Raw genomic sequence first — 26,050 nt, 5'->3', positions numbered from 1 at the left:
ATAGTGGTCTCATGTTTTAATGGAAAATAGTATGCAACAATTTTGCTCTGTTTTAGATGTGATATTGAAGTTTAAAACTTCACTAATAATTGCTGCAAATATAACACAACAAGAGAAAGCACTATAATCTATTGAGGCAAAACATAATATTAAGTAACTGAAAATGGCAGAAAACTATAGGGTATGATAACAATGCAACATGAAAAGCAAAGAGCTTTATTTGTGGTATTCCAGGTTGAGGGAGACATTCAAATGCCTATTAATTCCTATCTCTACCAATGATCACATTTATATGGTTCTGTACTGGCATGTTCCCTGAAGTCTACTCGTGCCCCATTAGTGGTAAAAGAATTAAATATTTAAAAATATTTACGCATATTATATTTATTAGAAAAAAATACTGACTTCCATTTATGTTGAGAATGTCAGCAAATCCAATCAACTCTTCTCAGTATTTCCTTTTTTCTTTATTTGTTGCTATAACCAGAGTCCAAGCCAACATCATTTCTTGCTTATAAATGTGCAATTATTTCCTACTATCTCCCTTTGCTTTCATTTCTGCTACTTTATGTTCTATTCTCCCCAGAGTAATCAAAGGGATCTCTTAAGAACTTGTCAAATCATGTCACTCCTCTCCTTAAAGCAACTCATGCCGCGCATTCATTTAGACCATACCCAAACACCCTAGTGTGACCTGCCCCATGAATCATATTCAGACCTCATCATTTGTATCTGTACTCCCAATTCACTTTTCTTGAGTGAAATAATCTTTTTTGTTGTTGTTCCTCAATCATCGTGAGCTCTTTCTTGCCTAAGGACATTTATACTAGCTCTTTCTTTTTCTGGAAACATCTTTTTCCCAAATATTGTGGCTAATTCTGCTGGAGGTTTTCAGCTTAAATGACATCTCCTTGGCATTTCTCATGAAGTAAAATACAAGCTCCACAAGACAAGGCTGCAGGGGAAGTTAGGAAGGGACTACTTTTTTGGTTTTGCATTCTTTGAAATAAAGCATTATGGGCAACATATTAACAAAATAAAATATAAAAGGAATACCATAAATCTTCATTTTACATTTTTTCCTACAATTATTTTCTATATACCTACCATCTGTCATTTTCTATCTATTTGCTAAAAATTTCTCAGCATTTCCATGTAAGCAACATGCATATTAACTGGGTTGAATCCTCTGTGTCAGATTCTATTTTATAATCCAGAGTGTTTCACTTGCACCTTTTACTTCCTTAAAGTCCTAAGATAAACAGTTGCAAAGAGTCAGACTCTTTGAAGCTCTAAACATACTTCTGCTCTCTCCGTCCTAATAGCCAAAGGAGGGCTTTTCTGCATTTTCTCTATTCAAGTTCCTTTTGCTTTTCCTAAGCTTTGTAGTAAAAATCTGCACTCATGTTCTGCCATCTGCTTTTAGTATATTTTTAATTCACCCACCAATTGCCATTTTACTGATTATCCCCAGAAGGATAAAGCCATTTTTAGTAAAATTCTGCTTTAAGGGGAATTGATAGTTGTGGAGAAATAACTGCACATTGTTGAAGAGTATTTATTAGAACACAGTTCCATTGTATTTGAGGAGAGAAATGCATTACTGACTGCAATGTCTTGAGTCAAGAATTTAGCAAGTTTTTGGAAAAGACTTTCATAAGGTGGAACAGGAATCCACATTAAGTTCTTGAACACATAAGATTGAGTTGAGCAAATCAATCAGAGTTTGACAAAGTAAAGCGATGAATCTAGTTAAGGTAATGAAATAAATTAATCCCACTTGCCTCATATAAGGGTTTGAAAGCAGAAATAAATGCAAATAAAGGAATTAGAGGTAGAGTTACACGTAGAATTGCTGGCTCTATAATGGAGAAAAGTCAAGAAGAATTTGAGATAAATTTATTTGTTGGACAAAATACTACTTACAAAAGAGTTGGAGTTGGATTTGAGTTGTTAATATATAGGTGTGAATGTGTGTGTGTATATGTATGTATATATGTATATGTACATGTGGATTCTAGAGGTCTAGAACTTAAATTGTTTGGACAAAGGATATGGATTTTTACCAAGTGTTTATTTAATTGCATTCTAACAAAATAATATTCTTATAAGTGTATGAGAAAGACCTTCTCCCCTATATTTACTTGGAAGATTACCAATTGTATTGACCTTTCCTAATTTAATAGATAAAATAACTACAATAATAAAATTTTTATTGATGTACTTACAGATTAAACAGTTTTCATATTTTTTATGTTTTTGTAAATTGTCTCTCATAGCTATTGCCACTCCTCACCTTTTTAAATGTTTATTAATTTGTAAAAATTCTCTTAAGGACATCCACCTTTGAAGTAAATGTTGCAAATATTTCCCAATGCATATTATTGTCTTTTAGCTTTGTTTATAATGAATTTTTACATTTTTAACTATAAGACTCACAAATATTTGTTGCATCAAACTTATTTATGATTTCCACGTTGGTCATTTTTCAATAGGCCTTCTCACCCCCAAATTATTATTATTTTAATAATGGTCTTTAAAAATATCAAATAATATATGTATTAGCTATTAAGTACAGTTAGACTTTTTTACTAATATAATAAAAATTTGCAAAATGATAAATAATAAAGTAATGGATGATTGTACAATGTTATGCCAATTTTCCATAATGTTGTTCTAATATTGTAATTTGCTTTCTGTCATACAGAATGTAATTTTACTTACGGTACAAATTTTAGGTAAGAGTAGATTCGAGTGAATGAAGGCTGGATGAACAGTGATACTGTACCTAAACACAGGTTCTGTGCATTTTAAGAATCATTGCAGACATTTGAATACTGGCAAATCTTTGTTATATTTAAATAAAATTAATATATCTATAAATTTAGCTTATATTTTTTCTTTTATTTTTATTTATACACATATGTATATAATATGACTACAAACAGTCAAAATAATATAACCAATTCCCACATACACACCATTTAGTACAAAGGATAAACATTATCTGTACCATTCAAGTACTCTGTGCACCCTGTCTTAATTGATTTTACCTTCTTCCCCCTCAAAATATTATCTTGATTTTCTCTAACCTGTTGTCTTAAACAGGTCTTGAAAAAACTGTGGCTGGGCACACTGGTACACCTGCAATTCCAGCTACTCAGAAAGCTAAGCCAGATTGCTTCAGGCCAGTAGTTTGAAGACAAAAAGTGCTGTGAAAAATGTTGGCTAGGCAAAGGGATTTGGGAATACTAGGGAAAATGTTAGACTGCTAAATGGGTGGTTCTGACAGGCTTCATTCATTTTTAACTTTTAAGTTCAGGGGTACAAGTGCAGGTTCATTACATAGGTAAACTTGTATCATGGTGGTTTGTTGTACAGATTATTTCATCACCCCAGTATTAAGCCTAGTAACCACTAGTTATTCTTTTGTATCTTCTCCCTCCTCCAATTCTCCACCCTCCAAAAGGCCCCAGTGTGTGTTGTCCCCCACTCTATGTGTCCGTGTGTTCTCATCATTTAGCTCCCACCTATGAGTGAGAACATGCAGTGTTTGATCTTCTGTTCCTGTGTTAGTTTGCTAAGGATAATGGTCTCTAACTACATCCACATCCCTTCAAAGAACAAGATCTTGTTCTTTTTTTATGTCTGCATAGTATTCCATGGTGTTTATATACCACATTTTCTTTATCCAGCAGACCACTGATGGGCATTTAGGTTGATTCCATGTCTTTGCTTAGAGAAGGAAATAAAAGGGTGTTCCAGAGGGAATACCCAGTGCCAAGCTCTGGTTCAGGAGTGTGGCTGGGATCCTCTAAAACTGCAAGCAGTTATAACTGAGAGTTCTTGCTTAAAGTGTGGTTTATGTTCAACCATCTGGTTATAACTGAGAGTTCTTGCTTAAAGTGTGGTTTATGTTCACCCATCTGGTTATAACTGAGAGTTCTTGCTTAAAGTGTGGTTTATGTTCACCCATGTGGTTATAACTGAGAGTTCTTGCTTAAAGTGTGGTTTATGTTCACCCATCTGGTTATAACTGAGAGTTCTTGCTTAAAGTGTGGTTTATGTTCACCCATCTGGTTATAACTGAGAGTTCTTGCTTAAAGTGTGGTTTATGTTCACCCATGTGGTTATAACTGAGAGTTCTTGCTTAAAGTGTGGTTTATGTTCACCCATCTGGGACTATACTTTTGAAGTCTATACTTTTGGAAGGATAGATGTTTGATTTTTTTTTTTTTTCTTTTAAAACTAGTAAGTCATTTTTGTTCAGTTTTTTAAGTGTCTATTTTATATATTCAAAAGTAAGTTGATAATGCTTTCTTGTGCTCATTATGGCTTAAATTTCTACTATGTTTATAAGTGCTGACCCTCTTTTCATCATCATCTTGTGTCTTTTGATCTATCTCCTTCTTTTTCTCTTTACTTGGTAAACAATCTGGCTGGAAATTTGTCTATTTAAGTATGGTTTTTAAAGAATCAACTTTATTTTTTATTGTACTGCTTCCTTCTTTCTCTTTGATATATTTTTACTTCATTATAATTTACACTTATTTTGTGTGTTTATGTTTATATTTCTTATATAATTCCAGCTTTTGCTGTATTCAACAGTCTTCCTTTTTATGTGCAATTTTTCACTGTCATTAAGTTCTAAATAAAGTATAACTTCTATTTTTATTTTTCTTTGAGTCATAAATTACATGCAAGCTTCTGTTTAAGTTTGCAAACAACAGCATTATCTGGCTGCCTCTTTTTATTGGGTTCTTTCTTACATTTGGGTCAGAAAACATAGTCAGTCTAAAACAGTTTTCTTGACCTCTAAACATTTTGCTAAATTCACTTATTCAAAATTTTCTGCTAATCAGAATATTATGTAACATAATCAGAACATACCACATTACACTCTGATAATCAATTCACTAGAAAGATATTGTCCCTTATGTATTAAAATTTGTTCATTTTTTGGAATTCTCAGAAATGTTTTTCAAGAACACTTTCCGTTAACATTTTACAAAATTTAAAAATGCAAGTAAATTTATGCCTAATCGTACATTAAGTATGATTTTATAAGTGGCATATAAACAGATTGATAATTCCTTTCCTAGAGTGTAGAGATGCCCTATGCACTGCAAGACAGTCAAGGGAAGGAGTTGGTTTGGTTTAGGATGCGTGATAAAGCATCTCATGAAGTATCTGTATGCTCAGTTTTAGAAAATGGATCCCATTTCTAAAAACTGGATTCATTGACTACATTATTAAATTGTTTCAATGCTGTATTCCACTATATGTTGCATTCTATAGAATGTTTACTTAACATCTTTGGAATAATCATTAAGTAAACAAAAACTGTCCCCTCTTCCTCAAAACTTTCTTTTATTCCCATGCTTATCCACTGTCATCAAATTACCACATCTGACAGAAATAATTTTAATTTCACCATCAATTGCTAGGATATTAATTTAGACTACAAATAGCTGCATATAAACATAAATGAAAAAATATTTTTCCACTCTCGTTGTTGAAACAGTGGGAGTCCTGAATGATTTGATAGCTGTACAATTAATCAAATAATAGACTACTGGATTAAATCTCAGTGAACTAAAAATATCTGTGCATAGCTGTAAACAAAATTAAATTAATATCCTCAGTACCTCTTATGCCTTTAATGCTATCAGGATCAGTAGATGTGATTTTAAATGACGATTCATATAAATAGGAATATACGTAAAATTTAAAAATACTAAGTGAATTTATACCTAATTGTACTACATTATTAAGTATAATTTTCTGAGTGTTACTCCTAACCAGTAGCAAATATGTTATATATATGAGATATATGATATGTGTATATATGATATATGATATATATGTTATGATATATATATGATATGTGATATATATGTTACTGGGTAGGAGGTACAGTAGCAAGTTTTCTTTCTTAAAAGAATGGTATACTCTGGGTCTAAGAATGACAAACAGATGATGTGGTGGTCACTTACCAGAGTATTTTATTTATACTGATCTGTACCCCTAGAATATTCAAAAATGAGGATGTATGAGATATATAATACTTTTTATTCTATTTTTCTGAGTTTTCCCTCCCAGTTAGGTTTTCGGAATACAAACATGGAGCAGTTACATGACATAAGGGCAAATAGTATAAGAATTATTACACTTTATTCATTTGTATCTTGTATACTTCCTCTATTGGGTAAATGGATAGATGCAATGAACTGCTAAATAATACCTGTTGAATCCAACCTGAGTGAAAACAAAATCTTATGCCTATTGAAAAGCATACAATGTTTGTAGTAGGGAGAAAGGAATATGATAGATGTCTGATATTTAAATGTAAAAACGTTGGCCGGGCACTGTGGCTCACGCCTGTAATCCCAGCACTATTGGAGTCCGAGGCACAGGCAGATCATCTGAGGTCAGGAGTTCAAAACCAGCCTGGCCAATTTGGTGAAACCCCGTCTCTAATAAAATACAAAAATTAGCCAGGCGTGGTGGTGCCTGCCTGTAGTCCCAGCTACTTGGGAGGCTGGAGCAGGAGAATCACTTGAACCCGGGAAGTGGAGGTTGTAGTGAGCTGAGACCGTGCCACTGTGCTTCAACCTAGGTGACAGAGCAAGACTCCGTCTCAAAAAAAAAAAAAAGTAAGAACATTATATGCTAACGTGAATGAAATATAAACAATTTTCAATTTTATATTATATACAATGGCAGATCATAGCTGCACCTGTAAGAGAAGATCAAATTAAAATCGGTTATCTGTTTGTTTATTCTCTTATCAGTGCCTGGCTTTCTAGAAAAATTTAGCTATTTTCATGGAATTCTCTGATAAACATTATGAACTCATTTCTTTCTATAATATGTTGGTAATATTGGCCGTATATAATAATTTAGAATCTCTTATTCTCCTTTATTTTTCTCAGAGCAGTCATTGCCATTTGACATGTTATATTTTATTTTTGTTAGTTTCCTATTTTACCATACAGCTAATTAAAATGAACTTTTCATTAATTCAATTACTGTTCTTTTCACTGTTATAGCCCAAGTATCTAAAACAGTGTCTAGCACTAAGTAGTCACCAGGTAAGTCTTTGCTGAGTGAATAAATCTTAGAAGGAAAGGAGAGAGAAAATCTAGATCCTTTATAGTATCCATGGTTTTCTACAAACAGGTAGAATGTAATATTTTATTATTTTGCACCATGTAAGTTAGAATCATTGTGGAACATCACATTTATACAATTCTTATTAGACTATATCTAGATCTCTTTTAAAATAAGCAAGCAAGCAAGCAAACAAACAGCAATGAAGATACGCTGAAGAAGTTTTGGGAGGAGGACCTACATCTTTACAGTTTCACCCACAACTTACCCATACCCTCCTTCAATGAATTCCTAGGGCTTCTTAGAAAATAGTGGATGCAATTCAGGAAGTGTTTGTTTTAAAACACCAAGAATGATGACTGTCCAAATTCAGAATGTGTTCATGTATTCCATAGACAATGACTGAATATCTACTAGGTTCTGAAAAATGTACTAGTTGCTGTGGTGGATAAAATAATAATAATACACTGTAAGACAGTCAGGGGAAGAGGTTGGTTTGGTTTAGGATGCATGATAAGATATCTCATGAAGTATCTATATACTCAATTTTAGAAAATGGATCCCACTCTTAAAAACTGGATTCATTGATGGCATTATCAAATTGTTTCAATGTTAAATTTCACTATCTATAGTGTTGGAATATTAGTCCAGTAACAATATGAAACCAAAGATACATCACTATCCAGTAAGGCAGTTTATATTATTACCACATAGTACAATGTGTTAACAGAGATCAAAGATAAATGAACACTTCCAACATAAAACGTATAATAATTTACTTCAGGTAACATATTTTTAAATTATGGGTATAATTATGGGCATAATCATAATTACTACTTAGAAATGTATTATGTGTATCATTTAACATTTTATATATAACATTTTGAATTTTTAAAATATTTATGGGTCCTTGTTGTTAAAATGAAGTGGCGTTCCAGAAATAGTTGATTGTAGATTTGTTGCACGTAAAACAGAGAAATCCAGCATTTATAGGTAACACCACAGTTAAGAGGAAAGAAAACTAAGAAAATTGCAGTAGAATACTTTTGTGAGGAAAAAATGAAATGTCAAAGATAAAATTTTTATGGTTCTTTAATCACAATCATCAAATTGTAACAAATGGAACTTTAAAATTGAATTTGTCTCTTGTCTGAATTACACCTGAGATTATACCTGCACACCAAGTGAAGAATCATATTTCAAAATGCATTTCATTTGGCTTTTAACACAGTTATTCTGTTGAAGACATTTCTGTAAAGCTTGCCAGATACAGGAAAAGCAATTTAATAAACACTGTGATCAAATAACTACTCAATTGTTCTTCATCTTTTTTAACATTTAACACCTTGCAGATCATTGCTACAATAAAGTGTGTTATCCCCTTTTCACAATGATTCATTAACCTGTATTAATTGTTCTTTACAAAGTTGTTTTTATACATCTTACTAACTACCAATGTGAGGAAAAGGTCTATGTTGCTTTCATTCAGTAGAAAACACATGCACTTTAATAATATTGTTTCTTAAAAAACACCTATTGGTTTGTTTTCTTTCAGTTTCTCATTTATCATCATTTGTTCATCTTCACTGAAAGCTGAACATATGCAGCCTAACAACAACTTGAATTAATTGAATGTTTCGTATCTATTCTCCAAATTAAATTTTCAGTTTTGCTCACCTTTTCATGATTATATTAAGAAAATGTAGCCATAATTGCTTGTATGGGAAAAATTACTGAGAAAGACATTCAGATTAAATGTAGGAAATGCTCTAAGGATCTTTGAAAGGAAAGAAATGTCAGGTTCTATATTGTATTCAAGGAAGATAGGAGATGAAAGTGTCAGATATGCAAGGCAGATAAGAAAATAGTTTTTAAAAATAAGTCATAGACATTCTTTTTCTGATAGTTATTGAAAAATCCTGTTCATCAAAAGATATCTTAAATCAATAAAGATTTCCTCAACAACCAGACAAAATCGTTCTGTGTGTGTGTATGTCTTATTGGAACTGTAATTATATTTACAATACTATAATTAGTCGTGTTATTAACTCTTGTTACTCACTAGAACATTATTGGTAATAAGCAGTGACATATCTTAAAGATTTTTCTTGTGTCCCAGCGTCTGCCCAGTGATTAATATGTTCAGCTCCATAAATGTTTATTCAACGAGTAAATTAGTGACTAGGTACTAAGTTCTTATTCTTGTGTACAGTCACCTATCAAATCTTTCCACTCTTCTCTGGGCAATTGGGGAAGCTATGTATAGAAAATGGAAGAGTCTCTGTCAGCCTGGGTTACTAAGGGTGAACCTGAACTTTCTCTGAGTGAAAAAAAAATCTATTTTACTGAGCCACAGAGATTTGGATATTCATATTTTATAGCAGTATTAACTAATACAAGGTATTTTTAACCTTTAAAAGAAAAGAAGAAAAAGTAGAAGTGATACTAATTTCCCAGATGCCATCCAACTCCTCTTTCACCAATAGATAGCATTGAAAGGCGGGAATCAGTGCCTCCTCCTAGTGATAGTGCCTCAGTTGAGCAGGGCTTATTCCGAATTCAGTATGCAACATCCCGACAGGGCAAATCTAGGGATTGCTCTCAAGTCACTATCCAACATCCCGATGGGTTGAATGGCATGCCAAACACAGCAATAAGCACTATAAAAAAGCCAGGCCGCCCCGGGGTGGGGCCACGTGGCTTCAGACCAGAGAGCGGAGCTACCTTGGCCCAAGCGCTGCAGCTGCCTGAACCCCGGGGCTTCGCAGCCTTGCTTGTTTTCTCTGAACCGCAATAGGATGGTGTTCACAGCGATTCAAAGGGTGGCATTGGGTTGGACGTTTTGGTTACGAGCCAGCCTATTCCCACATTGTACGTGAATGTTTAATGTGCTCTCAAAACATGGAAAATAAGTTTAGTGCACATAGCTAAATCACAAAACATCCGATTTCTGTTTCCTCAGGAAGTCATTACTGCGCCACCACATCACGTGACCTTAACATGATCAATGTATTTCTCTGCCTTGACATTTAAATAAACTATATAAATTAAGATAAGTAGATTAGAAAATCATTCAAATTATACCATAATCTGTACAAATATTGTGTCCCCTGCCAGGCAAGGGACAGGGTGCCGGCGACGGCCGCGTGGCCAAGGCCCCGCAGGAAAGCTCCCAGGTCTCCCTCACTCTCCAGGTGCCCTTTGCACCCAACAGTGCGTGTGAGGAACGAACTGCTGTTTGAACGTCCCCTGAGATTGTGCGTAGCCCCGTGTAAATGTAATAGCCTCCATGGCTTAATTGGCTATCAAGCGAATTTTCCCAGATGAAAGCAATGTTGGGTTAGGGGACGACGGTGCAGCCACCCAGCCTTTACCAGCAGCGTGCTGCAGACGAAGGCAGTCAAGGTGTGGAGGTGATCACGCAGGTACATGTTTTTGACTGTTTAATTTGAAAGTTCACATTTTTTATGCTTTGCGTTGATGTGTAATTTTTGTACTCTTGGTGACTAGTTTTTGTCAAATCTTTTTTGGAATATTGCTTAAATGTTTTGATTTTATGATAGTGAAGCTTGTATTCAGTGTTTTGTCAATTAATATTTTATGCTAGTAAAAAAAGCAAAAGAGAAAAAAAAAAGATCTTAGTCTGTTTCTAAGGCCCAGACCACACAAAGTATCCATTTTCCTCTCTTGTCTATAAAACAAAACTCACCTTATCAACAGTTTCTGTTCTACCCAAAGATGTTAAATAAAGTCCAAGGTAGTGGGATGGGGGAAGTGATGTTTTATTGTCTATGGCACGTGTGTTCCTAGGACCTATAAAAAGGAAAGCAGGTAAATGACTTTGATCTGTTTGATAAATGATTTTTATCTTGAGTAGTGTAGTCACTTAAATATGTTGATCCTCCTTCTGGGTGGAAATTATTTCAATACCATGTTGTTTTTGTTATTATTAACTATATATTATTATGTATATAATAATACATAAAAGTTATAGGAATGAAATAAAAAATTATTGAAATCCTAACACACAGTTGTAGCTATTTTTCATTCATGTATTTATTAAATATTATTAAATTATTCACCACATAATAAATAGTAAAGCATTTTCCACATAATCATATCTACCGTTTTATTCATGGAAATCATTTTATTTGATTATTTAATATTTATTTTAGATTAAGCATGCATGTGTACATTTGTTACATGAATATATTGCATGATGCTGAGGTTTGGGCTTCTATTGAACATATTATCTGAATAGTAAACATAGTACCCAATAAGTAGCTTTTCAAACCTTGCCTTCCTTCCTTCCCCTGTTTTGGAGTCCCCAGTGTCTGTTATTTCCATCCTTTTGCTCCTGTGTACCCAAAGTTTAGCTCTCACCTATAAGTGAGGACATGCGGTATTTGGTTTTCTGTTTACATCTTAATTCATTTAGGATGATGGCATCCAGGCACATCTATGTTACTGCAAAGGAAAGGATTTCATTCTTTCTTCTGGCTACATAGTATTCCATGGTGTATATGCATCATAGTTTCTTTATCCAATCCACCATTGTTGGAAACCAATGTTGATTCCATGTCTTTGCTATTTCATATTTGCAATATAACATGCAAGTGTGCAGAAGCTCTTTAGTTTAATTTGGTCTCACTTGTCAACTTTTGTTTTTGTTGCTTTTGTGTTTTAGTACTTAGTCATAAATTCTTTGCATAGGCCAATATCCAAAAGAGCTTCTTAGGTCTAATTCTAGGCTTCTTATAGTCTAAAGTTTTACATTTAAGTCTTTAATCAATCTTGAGTTAATTTTTTTATATGGTGAGAGACAGGAGTCTAATTTCATTCTTCTGAATATGGTTAGCCAGTTTTCCCAGCACCATTAATTGAATAGGGTATCCTTGCCCCATTGTATTTTTATCAATTTTGTTAAAGATCAGTTGGTTGTAGGTATGGGACTTCATTTCTGGATTCTCTATTTTGTTCCATTGGTCTATGTGTCTGTTTTTGTACCCAAACCATGCTATTTTGGTTATTGTAGCCTTGTAGTATAGTTTGAAGTCAGGTAATGTGTTGCCCCTGCCTTTGTTCTTTTAGCTTAAGATTGCTTTGGCTATTCAGGCTCTTTTTTAGTTAAATACAAATTTTAGAATTGATTTTCTAATTCTGTGTAAAAATAACTTTGGCAGTTTGATAGGAACTGCATTGAATTTGTAGATTGCTTTGGGCAGTAAAGACATTTTAATGATGTTGATTCTTCCAATCCATAAGCATGTAATATTTTTCCATTTGTTTGTGTCATCTATGATTTCATTCAGCAGTGTTTTGTAGTTCTACTTAAAGAGATCTTTTACCTCCTTGGATAGAGGTATTCCTAAGTATTTCTTTTTTTTTTTTTTCTGTGGCTCTTGTAAATGGGATTGTGTTCTTGATTTGGTTCTCAGTTTGAATATTGCATTGTATAGAAATACTACTGCTTTTTGTATATTGATTTCTTATCTTAAAACTTTACTGAAATTTTTAATCAACTCTAGGAGTCTTTGGTCAGAATCATTAGGGTTTTCTAGGTATAGAATCCTATCATCAGTGAAGAAATAAAATTTAATTTCCTCTTTTCCTATTTGGATGCCTTTTGTTTCTTGCTTTTGTCTGATCATTCTGGCTAGGGCTTCCAGTATTAAGTTGAATAAGAGTGGTGAAAGTGGATATTCTTGTCTTGTTCTTATTCTTATGGGAATTCTTCCAACTTTTGCCTGTTTAGTATAACGTAGACTAGGTTTGTCAATAGATGGTTCTTATTATTTTAGGTATGTTCTTTGAATGCCTAGTCTATTGAGGGTTTTAATTATGAAGGCATGTTGGACTTTATCAAATGTTTTACCTGCATCTGTTGAGATAATCTTATGTTTTTTTTCATTTTAAATTCTGTTTATGTGGTGAATCACATTAACTGATTTGCATATATTTGAACAACTCTTACATCCCAGGTATAAAGTTCACTTGATATTGTATTATCTTTTTGATGTGCTGCTGAATGTGGTTTGCAAGTACTTTGTTGAGGATTTTTTCATCTATGTTCATCAGATATATTGGCCTAGGGTTTTGTTTTTTGTGTGAGTATTTGCCATATTTTGGTATCAGGATGATATAGGTTTTGTAGAGTAAGTTAGAGGAGAATCTCTCATCCTCGATTTTTTGGAATAGTTTCAGTAGGATTGGCATGAGCTCCCCTTTGTATGTCTGGTAGAATTCAGCTATGAATTCATCTAGTCCTAGGCTTCTATTACTTATTCAATTCATTCTGTAATTCATTGTTGGTCTGTTCAGTGTTTCAGGTTCTTCCTGGTTCAATCTTGGGAAGTTGTGTGTTTCCAGGAACGTATTCATTTCTTCTAGGTTATCTAGTTGTGCACATAGAAATGTTCATAGTAGTCTCTGAGAATCTTTTGAATCTCCGTGGGACTCGATTGAATGTCGCCTTTGTTATTGCTGATTGTGCTTATTTGGATCTTTTCTTTTTTGTTAATCTTGCTTGCAGTCTATCAATTTTGGTTACACTTTCAAAGAACCAACTTTTCATTTTGTTGATCCTTTGTGTGGATTTTTGAGTCTCGATTTTATTCAGTCCTGTTCTTATTTTTGTTATTTCTTTTCTTATGCTATATTTGGATGTAGTTTTTTTTCTTGTTTTACTACTTGCTCTGGGTGCAATGTTAGATTGTTAATTTGAGATATTTCTATCTTTTTGATGTAGGTATTTAGCACTATAATCTTTCCTTTTTAAACTGCTATTATTGCATCCCAGAGGTTTTTGTTCATTGTGTCTCTATTTTCATTTGTTTAAAAAATTCTTTGATTTCTGCTTTAATTTTATTGTTTACCCAAACAAAAGTCATTCAAGAGTAATTTCTTTAGTTTCCGTGTGTGTTTGTGTGTGAGTGTCTGTGTTTTAGAGTTCCTCTTGCTATTGATTTTTATTTTTATTCTACTGCGGTCCAAGAAGATGCTTGATATTATTTGATTGTTTTTATTTCTTGACACTTGCTTTATAACTGCATATGTGATCACTCTTAGAGTATGTTCCATGTGAAGATGAGAAAAAAATATATATATTGTGGTTGTTGGGTAGAGTGTTCTGTAGATGTCTATTAGGTTCAATTGGTCAAGTGGCAAATTTAAGTCCAGAATTTATTTGTTTAGATTTCTGCCTCAATAATCTATCTACCACTGTCAGTGGAGTGTTGAAGTTCCCAGTTATTACTGAGGGGCTGTCTACCTCTTAGGTCTAGTAGTGATTTCTTTATGTATCGTGATGCTCCAATTAATATTGGGTGCATATTTATTTAAGATAGTTAATTATTCTTATTGAATTGAGCCCTTTGTCATTAAGCAATAACATTTTTTTGTCCTTGTTTCTGTTTTTGGCTGAAGATCTGTTTTCTCTGATATGAGAATAGAAACTCCTGCTCTTTTATGTTTTCCATTTGCATGATTAATCTTTCTCTATCCCTTTACTTTGAACCCATGAGTGTCATTAGTTGTGAGATGGGTCTCTTGAAGACAGCAGATGGGTGATTCTGATTTTTTTATTCCAATTCGCCACTGTATGTCTTTTAAGCGGAGGATTTAGGCCATTTATGTTCAAGGTTAACATTGATATGTGAGATTGTGTTCCTGTCATAGTTTTGTTAGCTAGTTTCTTTGCAGTCTCAATTGCGTAGTTGCTTTATAGAGTCTGTGGACTATGTACTTAACTGTGCTTTTTCTGTGTATTGTTCTTTCATGTCCACATTTAGAACTCCCTTAAGCATTTCTGCAGGGCTAGTCTAGTGGTGATAAATTCCCTTACCGATTGCTTGACTCAGAAAGACTCAATCTCTCCTTCGTTTATGAAGCTTAGTTTTGAAGAATATGAATGTTTATGCTGGAATGTCATTCCTTTTAGAGTACTAAAAATAGACCTCTAATCTCTGCTGGATTGTAAGGTTTCTTCTGAGAAGTCCACTGTTAGTCTGATGGGTTCCCTTTGTAGGTAGTGTTGCTCTTTTCTCTAGCTGTGTCTGAGATTTGTTTTTTCTTTTGTGTTAACCTTGGATAGTCTAACGACTATGTGTCTTGGGGATGGCTGTCTTTATAGTGTATAACAGAGGTTCTCTGGATTTCTGGTGTATGCATGTCAACATCTCTAGCAAAATTGAGAATATTTTCTTGAATTTTTTCCTCAGATATGTTTTCCAAGTTGGTTACTCTTTCTTTTCTCTCAGGAATACCAATAAGTTGTAGAAGTGGTTTCTTTACATAATCCCATATTTCTTGAAGGCTTTGTCTTTTTAAAAAATATTTTTTCTTTATTTTTGCATGACTGGGTTAATTTGAAGAATCAGTCTTCAAGCTTTGAAGTGTTTCCTTCTGCTTGGCCTAGTCTGTTTTTAAGTCTCCCAACTATATTTTGAAATTTATTTAGTGAATTTTTCAGTTCCAGAAGTTCAGTTTGGCTCTTTCTTAATATAACTATGTTGTCTTTCAAATCTTGGACTGTTTTTCTGGTTTCTTTGCATTGGATTTCTATTTTGTCTTATGTCTCATTGACTTTCCTTGACATCCATCTTCTGAGTTCTATGTGTCTCATTTCAGACATTTACATCTGGTCAGGATCCTTTCCTAGGGAGCTAGTGAGAGGCTTTGGAGATCACAAAACACTCTGGCTTTGTGTATTGCCAGACTTCTTGTGCTTATTCCTTTCCATCTGCGGGAGTTGACACTTCTTTTTTGAATTTGCTTCATTTAGATGGGGTTTGTATTAGTCAGAGTTCTCTATAGGTACCGAAGTAATAGGATAGATGTACATTTGAAGGGGAGTTTATTAAGGATCATTGACTCACACGATCACAAGGTAAAGTCCCACAATAAACCATCTGCAAGCTGAGGAGCAGGGAAGCCAGTCCGAGTCCCAAAACCTCAAAAGTAGGGAAGCTGACAGTGCAGCCTTCAGTCTGTGGCTGAAGGCCTGAGAGCCCCTGGCAAACCACTGGTGTAAGTCCAAGAGTCCAAAAGCTGAAGAACTGGAAGCATCCAGCACAGGATAAAGATGAAAGCCAGGAGACTCAGCAAGTCTGCTCTTCTGCCTTCTCCTGCCTGCTTTGTCCTAGCCGTGCTGGCAGCTGATTAGATGGTGCCCACCCAGATTGAGGGTGGTTCTGCCTCTCCTAGTCCAGACTCAAATGTTAATCTCCTTTGGCAACACCCTCCAAACACACCCGGGAACAATATTTTGCACCCTTTAATACAATCAAGTTGACACTCAGTATTAACCATCACAGGGCTTTTATATTTTTTATTCTCTTTGAAAGTATGACAGTGGTGTATGTGATTGATTGGCTTCATTTCTCTGTAGTTGCAGAGGGTGAAGTTTCCATATATGTTCCTTGGTTACAGATAGGTTGCTGCAGTGGCTTTCACAGATGTTGCTTGTTTTAGCAATGTATTTTTATATGATGGTATAACTCAAACTTCAGTCTGGTAGATGGACTTAAGAGTAAGAGCTGGCAGGTGGGGTCTTGGTGCATGCTTGCCCTCACTGGAGAATCATGAGAAACAACTTCTTTCAGTGCACGCTTTCTGGGCCCCTATGGGAAGAGCTATTGTTGCATCTGCAACAGTGCACTGGGGAGGGGAGATGGAGGCGAGACATAATTCCTTCTCCAAGTCTGGTTCTGGGCCTTGGTGGTGCTCCTTTCAGTGGCTTATGCCATGGCCACATTTTCTTTGTCTCATGTGGTGCTTTGGCAGGCTGCACTCCCCCTTCCCTTAGGGATGGTCCACACTGAGGATTACATCTCTAGGGACACACAACTCTCCAGAGACCCACCAGTCCACTGTGCTTACCAAAGTCAGAGCAGGTTTTAGGGTATGTCTGCAGTTGCTCTGATGATGCAGTATTTCAAGGGTAGAGGATCTCCAGGCAGGGCAGTGGCACAATGGGTGCAACACCAGTATGGAGTCTGCAGCCCATGATTTTCAGCCCAGCAGGCAACCATGGAGTCTGCCTAGCTTACACTCCCCTGACCCAGCAGATCTCCCACAGACACTCGCCCTGGCGGCAAGCCCAACCAACTAGGCTTTCCCCAAGCCATCTGCTCCCACATTGTTGAGCTGCTCCAGGCATTCTGTGCCAGGACACTCCCTGGGAAAGAAGCTACCACCATCAGGCCATACCCTTCATGGTCTGGTCTTGCAAAGGGAGGGGTGTCCAGCTCCCATGCCCCCATGAGAACCCATACCACACCCTTCTCTGCATTCTGACTATGGAGGATCCTCCTTCACTTGAGATTAGGTTACAAATCTCAGCTCAGTGTCCCTGGGTGGTATACTTGAGTCTTGGGGAGTTGGGACTGGGCTCACGGATTTGTCCTCTGGCCTCTAAGCTTCAAGCACTGGCTGTGACTTGGGGACAGGGTGGTGAGCTTTTCCCAGGCTGTCAACAAAACACTCAAGCTATGCAGTGGATGCTGTGCTGTGGACACCCTCTTGCAGGCGTGACCAGGCATGAGCTCTGGGAAGGGGTTGACAGGCAAGGGGGCATGTGGACCAGATGCAACTTAATCACACAGCACTGGTGATGGGGCCTATCTTGGGCATGTGAGCAGGCCAGGCGCGGTTCACTCCCAGCCTGGCGGACAGCAGGAACTTAGCCACTCAGTATGAAATGGAGGCTTGTGGGATGGGCACCTAGGGTTGCATTTTGCTGCAGCTGCACAGCACAACAAAGCCTTCTGGGCTCTGTGTGGGTTCAAACTGTGCCTCTGCATGTGCTCGAGGCAGCTCTCCTACCAGTCCAAAGATCTATGAGGGTCGTAGAAACTCCTGTAACTAGGATCTCAGAGGTACATTATGGGTATGTAGTGTCCCAGGGTTCCTTCACTCACCCCTTCCTTGGGTTTGTTCAGGGTATATGGGCCAGTCCTGATGTCTAGTGACTCTGAGCAGACTGTCCCATTTCTTCCCTCTTCAACCATGGTGTCTGTGTCACCTCTGTGTCAACTTTCAGTGTTTTCTCTCAAAAGATCTGTTTAAAATGTGAAGGTTTACTAGATATTTGGGTTCCTCTCCATGGAAGAGGCACTTCCCAACTGCATCTCCTTGGCCATCTGCCATTCTCCAAATCTTTTTTGGTGCCTATTTTTCCTTTTTACTTTCTGTGCTTCCTCCTTATTCTCTTCCTCCAACACTGATATGTACTCTGACATTCAATTCTAAATATATATATTATAAAAAATAGATATAATGTGCATATATGTGTTCATTAAGGATAGAATACTTGGCTGGGCACGGTAGCTTATGCCTGTAATCCCAGCACTTTGGGAGGCCGAGGTGGGCGGATCATGAGGTCAGGAGATCGAGATCATCCTGGCTAACACAGTGAAACCCCGTCTCTAGTAAACAAAATACAAAAAATTAGCCGGGCCTGGTGGCGGGTGCCTGTAGTCCCAGCTACTTGGGAGGCTGAGGCAGGAGAATGTCGTGAACCCGGGAGGTGGAGCTTGCAGTGAGCTGAGATCATGCCACTGCACTCCAGCCTGGGCGACAGAGCAAGACTCCATCTCAAAAAAAAAAAAAAAAAAAAAAAAAAATTCAGAAAGAAGGTTACTACATCTGAATTTCTGAAGATGGTTTTAGTAGGGATGAATTCAATGTAATCCATGGATTATTCATGACTTTGTAGAAAGGTTAATGAATGTTTCTTTTAGCCACTCGGGTTGGGACCTCTGAATCAATAGGAAGCATAAATGAGAGATGTCAGGGGAGGATTGAAGGATGCTGATGGAGGTGGGAAGGCCTGAAGTGACCCGCCTGTGCTAGACTGAAAGTGATTCAGGCCCCACCCAAATGCATGAGCAGTGGAGCCTAAATCCTTCACAACTGCACATTAGAGGAGAGAGGATTTGACCATCATCCTGCAATTAGAGTTACTGTTAATCAAGGTAGGAGGACAAGATGCGTTCCCACTTCTGACTCTGATTGCCCTAAATAGAGGCCCTGAGTGGTAATAATTTGTTTTGAAACTAGGAGACAGTTCAGTCAGTGTTTCATCAGATTCATGTTTTGCTGAAAATACTGGCACATTCCTCCATTTAATGAGGAGTCACCACAGGTAACTCAAGGGCCTTAGTCCTGCTGCCCACATAAGGGAGTTCTGGTCCTCAGGAAATGGGGCCGTATTTGAAGGTAACGAAAGGGATAAGATGAGACATGATGGTGTGATGAGTATTCCAGTGACTGCTTTTGGTAAATTTGGGCTGGCATGTGGGTTTCAGTTCCTCTGTCTAGAAAGGAAATGCTCCTCATGACTGACAAAAGCAGGAATAGGTTTTATCATCAGCTCTACACCAAGGCTCTCCAGTTACTAGAGTGGTCTCTAGAAGACAGCATTATCAGCAAATTCCATTAGCAACTAACTTGCTTCTGTGGTGCTGTGTTGTTGTTAATAGTTTTAATTATAGCAGCTGCAATGCAGGGAACCTGATCCAAAAAAGGCACAAACCAAAACCTGTGCTCCTAAGGAGATTATAAGAAATGAAATCACCAACACTGGCCTCTCTTTGGGAGGAAACTGGAAATGGCAAGAGGGACCACTCATGGGCTAAAGCCCAGCACTTGGGTCACAACTCACCCTGGAGAGGCCAAGTATGGGCCCCATTGCTTCAGGCCTTGGCTGTGGATCACACCCTGGATTCTTCTCTTCCAGGTGCAGCTCAGTTGCCGTGATGCTCCTTGAGTCAATGAGCTCTTTGGTCTGCTCTTCTGCTCAAGCAGAAAAGGATTGGCACTTCACCCTTGAGAAGCTGACAAGAACCACAGGCTTCTTCAGGCAGGTGGTGGAACATGGGTGTATCCTGCAGGTGCTCACAGTATCTCCCTTTGCTCAGGTGACGGAGGCTTGGGGTTTTCCAGCTCTTGACCTAAAATTCCTGAATGATTGTTTTCAAATTTCTTAATGAATAATAGGATGAACTTGCCACCCCTGTCAGGGGGGAATGGGGTTCCTGAAAGCTGAGAGGCCAGGATCCAGATCCTGAGCCTCTTCACCAAGCAGATGCTGTAGAGCAAAGGCAGCAACTATCTATCTATCTATCTATCTATCTATCTATCTATCTATCTATCATCTATCTATCTTTCCCCTTCCCTTTAAGGAAATCCTCAGGACTAGGTGAGATCTTAGATCTAGTGGAGAATCTGAGCTGCTCCAAGCAAAACCTCAGGATCCTGCAATCTGAAAAGGTAGAACCAAGGCAAATGTGGGCAGCAATACCCAGAAGTTGGGTACTGAGCCTGTTAGGGAGCATTTTTTTCAGGGGAGTGAAGTAAACAATGAGGTGTAGAGAGCAGCGAGAATGAGAAGCCAAATCACAGACTACAAAATCACACAGCATCTGTCCTTTCTCCCTGGGCAGAGAGAGTATGATGGGTAGTCTCCAATATAGAAAGCCCATTGTGTCCTTCAGCTCCCCCATACAGTCGCAGAACAAGCCTGATTCTGAAATTTCTATTCTCTTTAGGCTCTAGCCTGATTTTCTGGCTCATAAGGCCAAAGGGAGCTGGAAAAGTCCCCACGGCAGGACTCATGGTGGAGAGAGAATGATCTAGAGGATTCAGGCCTCTGCATACTGTGTCTGGGTCCCTCCTTAAAGAATGATAAAGACAAGTAAAGAGCTTGAAGCAGCCTGGAGTCCAGCCAGAAACCTTTAACTGAGCTTTAAAGGAGATGGTCACAACACTTTTCAGAATACTGGCAAAGGCCTCCTGTGGCCAGGTTTGTCCTGGGATGAGCAAAATTTAATGTTAACCTGCTGTATCTTTGCTTTTAATATATCTGCTTGCCCATCACAATGATGTTATGGTTAATTTCACCAATTTGGTAACCTGCCTCTTGGGAAGTACGAAAGTAAGCAAGGGCCAGGTGTGGTGACTCACGCCTGTAATCCCAGTACTTTGGGTGGCTGAGGCGGGTGGATTGCTTGAGCCCAGGAGTTCAAGACCAACCTGGGCACCATGACAAAACCCCGTCTCTACAAAATATACAAAAATTAACCAGGAGTGGCAGTGCATGGCTGTAATCCCAGCTACTCGGAGGCTGAGGTGGGAGAATCTCTTGAGCCTGGGAGGCAGAGGTTGCAGTGAGCTGAGATCACACCACTGCATTCCAGCCTGGGCAATGAAGTGAGACCCTGTCTCAAAAAAAAAAAAAAAAAAAAAGAGAGAGAAAGACAGTGAGGGTGTCCTGTGAATCAAATCTTTGAATGGATGTTTTCTTAACTAACCAAGACCTCTGTAAGAATTCTGTCTTTGATTCCACAATAAAGTGGTGTGAAATTACTATAAGCAAATGTTTACATGTCTCATTTAATCTTCACAACAATCCTATGAGGCAAGTAGAATTGTTATCCTCATTTTCTGAGCGATGAAACTGAGGCTCAGGGGAGGGTGTGACCTTGCCAAGTCCCCACAACTGGAAACCACGGAACAAAATGACCTGAGTCACACATGCTAGAAAAAACTCATTGTGCCTCCCCATGGAGATTCACAATGGCTATTTCTGTTGCAATAGAGGATGAAGCAGGTGGTCTTTCCAATCAACAGCTGTTAAGAAAGGCTCCAGTTCTCCCCGGGGAATCTCAGAATCAGACTGAAGATTCAGAAGAGCCTTTGCTGACCACTGAGTCAAACTCCCCAGAATCCTTTTGTAGTACCGCTGACCAGTGAGTGATCATCAAACCTCCAAAGACTTCGGTAATTTGCAGATTCTAGGGAAAATTCCATGAGTTAACAGAGGTGAAATTTGAAAGTTCCATAGAGAAATTCTGGAACTTGAAATTATCATAGGAAGATTATTATGCAATTTCGTTCCTGTTAGTAGTCTTTAATAAAGAGACTTCAGGTGAACATTGGGTTGAACCAAGATTACTTTCTCCCATTGTCACCATTCTGATTTCAGATTGTTCCTTGCTGGTTTATATCCTCTTCAATTCCATTTTGTACCAGATAGAGGCAGAGTAGAAGGAAAAACTGAACAACAAACCGCATTTGTGCCAGCTCGAGGGATAAACACCCTCTAAGGAGCATCTCAAGCTTTCCACAAGATTTCAACAGGGTCACCCCAGTTCACAGCCAGGTAGTGTGTCTTCAATGTGTGGCCAATCGCTGTTGGACAAACAGGAGGTGTTTTCCCCAGGATACCCTGCACTAGACTCGGCATCTTTTCAGTCTTCTTCTTATTCTGTCTCCTTCCCAGCACACTGACACTGGAAGCACACTAAGTCATCACATGAGCAATTCACAGGTGCCATGAAATACCTCACAAATGTACAGTACTTTAACTGTTGACCCCATGTATTAGGTAAGAAAGATATTATTATTTACATTTATCTATTGGAACTTGGGGGCACAGAGTGTTTAAATTACCTGCCCAAGGGCACACAAGTCACTCGCCTCTTGTGTTTCAATTATACAATGGCTTAGTGATTCTTTCTTTCAGACGATTGTTGTGAGGAGTGAATGGAATTAAATCAAGTCTATGTGGAAAGGGCCTGGAGTATGAGTTCTCAATGCAGGGTGACTACTGTCAGCACCAACTAGTTATGATAATGACCATGATGATGATGGGGAAATAATAACACCTTGAAGTAATAATAATGAAGTTAGAACGATACCCCCAAATGTATGAAAATTACATCTATAAAATGAGTTAGTTTATAAATCGTGAGAAAATGGGCATCCTCAGGTATTGCAGGTAGAAACACACAATGGAATAACTCTTGTCAGCAAGCTAATCCATTTCCAGGAATTTTTATTTTTTTTTTTTTTGAGACAGAGTCTTCCTCTGTCACCCAGGTTGGAGTGCAATGGCATGATCTTGGTTCACTGCAACCTCTGCCTCCCAGGTTCAAGTGATTCCCCTGCCTCAGCCCCCCATTAGCTGGGACTACAGGCACACACCACCGTGCCCAGCTAATTTTTGTATTTTTAGTAGAGACGGGATTTCACCATGTTGACCAGGATGGTCTTGATCTCTTGACCTCATGTTCTGCCAGCCTCGGCCTCCCAAAGTGCTGGAATTACAGGCATGATCAACCACCCCAAGTCCAGAATTTCCTAACAAGGTCTCAAGAGATGAAGGTGCTACTGTTCAGTGACCCCCTGCTCAAAAACACTGCCCTAGGAGATGGGGGCTCTTCTATGCCCCATTTTTACAGGTAAGGCTAGTCATGGAAGTGGGAGATAGAAAATAAAGGGTGGGGTCAGGTTCCTTTCTAAAAACCTAAATGCATGTCAGGCAAGTAGGGCTTAGAAAAGAATTTACCCTCCTTCACCTCTGTCACCTCATCCCTCCTTCCAACCTCCATCACTTGTGTGGCAAACTGGACTCGGAGCCAGAAGGCACCAGAAAAAGTGGAATGTGAGCCTGCAGGCCATCAAGGTGAAGCCCTGAGGATCCCCCGGGGCCAGTCCCTCCACTTTGATGCGGATAAGCCTCAGCTAGTGTCAAGTTGAAAGGAGAAAAAGACAGGTGAGTCACTGTTAAAGAAACAGGTTCACATATGTAGGTCTAGGAGCACTGCAAGTAGTTCTTACAGTGAGAGAGAGCAATTGTGCTCAACTCTGAATCCAGCACAAGGAAGTGGTAATTATACTCAAGGAGGAGGATGGGGGTTAGCAGATAGGAAATGACTATGAGGGAACATGAAGGGTAAGGGAGGATTCTGGCTAAACTGACCTAACGAGATTCTCGCTGAGCACAGGCCAAGGTTATCTGACATCAGCTGCGGGATGGTGGGGGATGAGGACCCTGATCAGTATATGGTGGACGGGGATTCCTGCCAGCTAAACTGACTTAGCAGGGTAATTTCCTAAAACTGAATTTTACAAAAAGTGCACAGATGGGTTTAGCAGAAGGTTCAGAAGCCTGACCAATGTACGGTCAAGCAAACAATTTCTGTCACCACACAGAATGCATGCTCCAGGGACCATACTGGGCCTCAGCATCTTCCTACCCCACCAGCTTCCAGGAGGGCATTTTGCCCTGGGCCTCCTGGGTGTTTCCTTGCCTGATCATTTCTAGGAGACAAGAGACTTGCACTTTATCATCTAGGATAAATTCAGTGTCAGATTTTTAAGCCTAAATCGGATGACAGTGCTTCAGTGACAATCTCAGTTATTTAAAAAGGGAGGTTCATTCATTCACCAGTTCTAAAGGTGCACATAAGACATTCTTTTTTTTTTTTTTACAAAAAAATTGAGACCAAGTTAAAAGAAAAAGAATGAAAAAAATCAAGCAACCCGAATCCCTTATATAATCTCTTCAAAACCCCAAACCAGGGAAATCTTCTCAATATAAACTTGGGAATTTTGTTGATCACTGACTGCAGTCTGGTGGTTTATACTTATTTTCTTGTGTCCCGTTTCCTCCCTTCTCCCACCCCCAGCCCCTCAGCAGGTGCTGCCTTCCTGTCTTGGTCTCATTGTCCTCAAATCAGACCTGCAGGTATGGTCCCAAGTGCTTCTAACCTTCATCCTCATATCCACGGGATCCCCTGAGAACCCAGCTTCTGTTATTGAGAACTGTCCCACCTGCTGACTAAGGAGTCTGATCTTTATTCAGAATCATTGCTAAGATACCAGAAGAAATAACATGTAAGAGTCTAGTATAGAACTCACAGTTCTGATCTGAGGAACTAACAATTGCTTATTTGAATCACTGTATTTCCTATTTATATTCTTTTTTTTTTTTTTTTTTTTTTTTTTTTGAGATGGAGTCTCGCTATGTCTCTCAGGCTGGAGTGCAGTGGTGCGATCTCGGTTCACTGCAACCTCTGCCTCCCAGGTTTGAGCCGTTGTCCCTGCCTCAGGCTCCTGAGTAGCTGGGATTACAGGCGCCCACCACCATGCCTGGCTAATTTTTGTAATTTATTTTATTTTTTTTGAGACAGAGTCTCACTCTGTTGCCCAGGCTGGAGTGCAGTGGTGCCATCTCACTCACTGCAACTTCTGCCTCCCTGGGTTCAAGCAATTCTCCTACCTCAGCCTCCTGAGTATCTAGGATTACAGGCGCCTGCCACCATGCGTGGCTAATTTTTGTATTTTTAGTAGAGACGGGGTTTCGCCATGTTGGCCAGGCTGGTCTCAAACTCCTGACCTCAGGTGATCCACCCGCCTTGGCCTCCCAAAGTGCTGGGATTACAGGTGTGAGCCACCACTCCCGGCCTATATTCATATTTCTATTCACAATATCTCCTACACAGTGTTTTCCTGTTCTATGGGGAGAAATCAGGCAGATAGCAGAAGACACAGGTCAGATCTCAGGAAGAGTTTCTATGGCCTCCAAACAAGCATTTATTGATTATAGATGTAGGGGTGAATATTACGAATATGGGGAGATGTCCCACAAGGTTAGCTCCTATGCTACCTAATGCACCAGGCAGCTTGTCCATAACTTAGTTTAAATATATCTGTCAGGCTCCATGCCCATTTGCTGTAAAAGCAAGATTACTGAGGTAATCTTAGATTTTAAAATGGAAAACTGGGCCTCACAAAAGCAGTTGGGAAAATTACCTGGAGATTGTTTCTAAGGCAGTGCCCAACTGTACCAAGCAAAGGACAACAAGTACAAAGTCAGAGCTTCATTAACTTGATGATTGATTCATTCACTTACTTAATGCAAGACTTCAGGGGAAGAAGAGTCGCTGAGTGGAGGAGACGGGAAACAATGCATTATGAAACGCCCATGGTCTCTGGATACCCACCCAGCCAGTCCCCACCCTCCTAGGGTCTGGTCTCGACCATCTCATCATGTGTTTTGAGGGTGCGTTTTCCTACCAGTTGTTTTTTTGTCTTTGAGACAGGGTCTCCTCTCGCCCAGGCTGGAGTGCAGTGGTGCGATCTCGGCTCA

At 38.4% G+C, this 26,050-nt stretch overlaps 1 protein-coding gene and 1 long non-coding RNA gene across 4 annotated transcripts in view; both read left to right on the top strand.

Annotated features, from left to right (window-relative positions):
• The window catches only part of LINC02675 (long intergenic non-protein coding RNA 2675), a 32,287-nt gene extending 9,309 nt beyond the window's left edge, over positions 1-22,978 (top strand). For 2 of the 3 annotated variants that reach the window (XR_945946.4, XR_945945.4), the window contains 2 exons: positions 19,853-20,033; positions 20,664-22,978. This is a non-coding gene — a long non-coding RNA (long intergenic non-protein coding RNA 2675). Of the gene's footprint in view, positions 1-9,879; positions 10,539-19,852; positions 20,034-20,663 lie in introns of those variants that run through there. The other variant, XR_428749.5, reaches the window with a different exon arrangement.
• The window catches only part of ANXA8 (annexin A8), a 523,804-nt gene that overhangs the window by 381,625 nt on the left and 116,129 nt on the right, over positions 1-26,050 (top strand). The window lies entirely within an intron of this gene.

This window comes from Homo sapiens, chromosome 10, assembly GCF_000001405.40.
Source record: "Homo sapiens chromosome 10, GRCh38.p14 Primary Assembly".
Lineage (NCBI taxonomy): Eukaryota > Metazoa > Chordata > Mammalia > Primates > Hominidae > Homo > Homo sapiens.
This window is presented reverse-complemented; position numbering and strand designations above follow the sequence as displayed.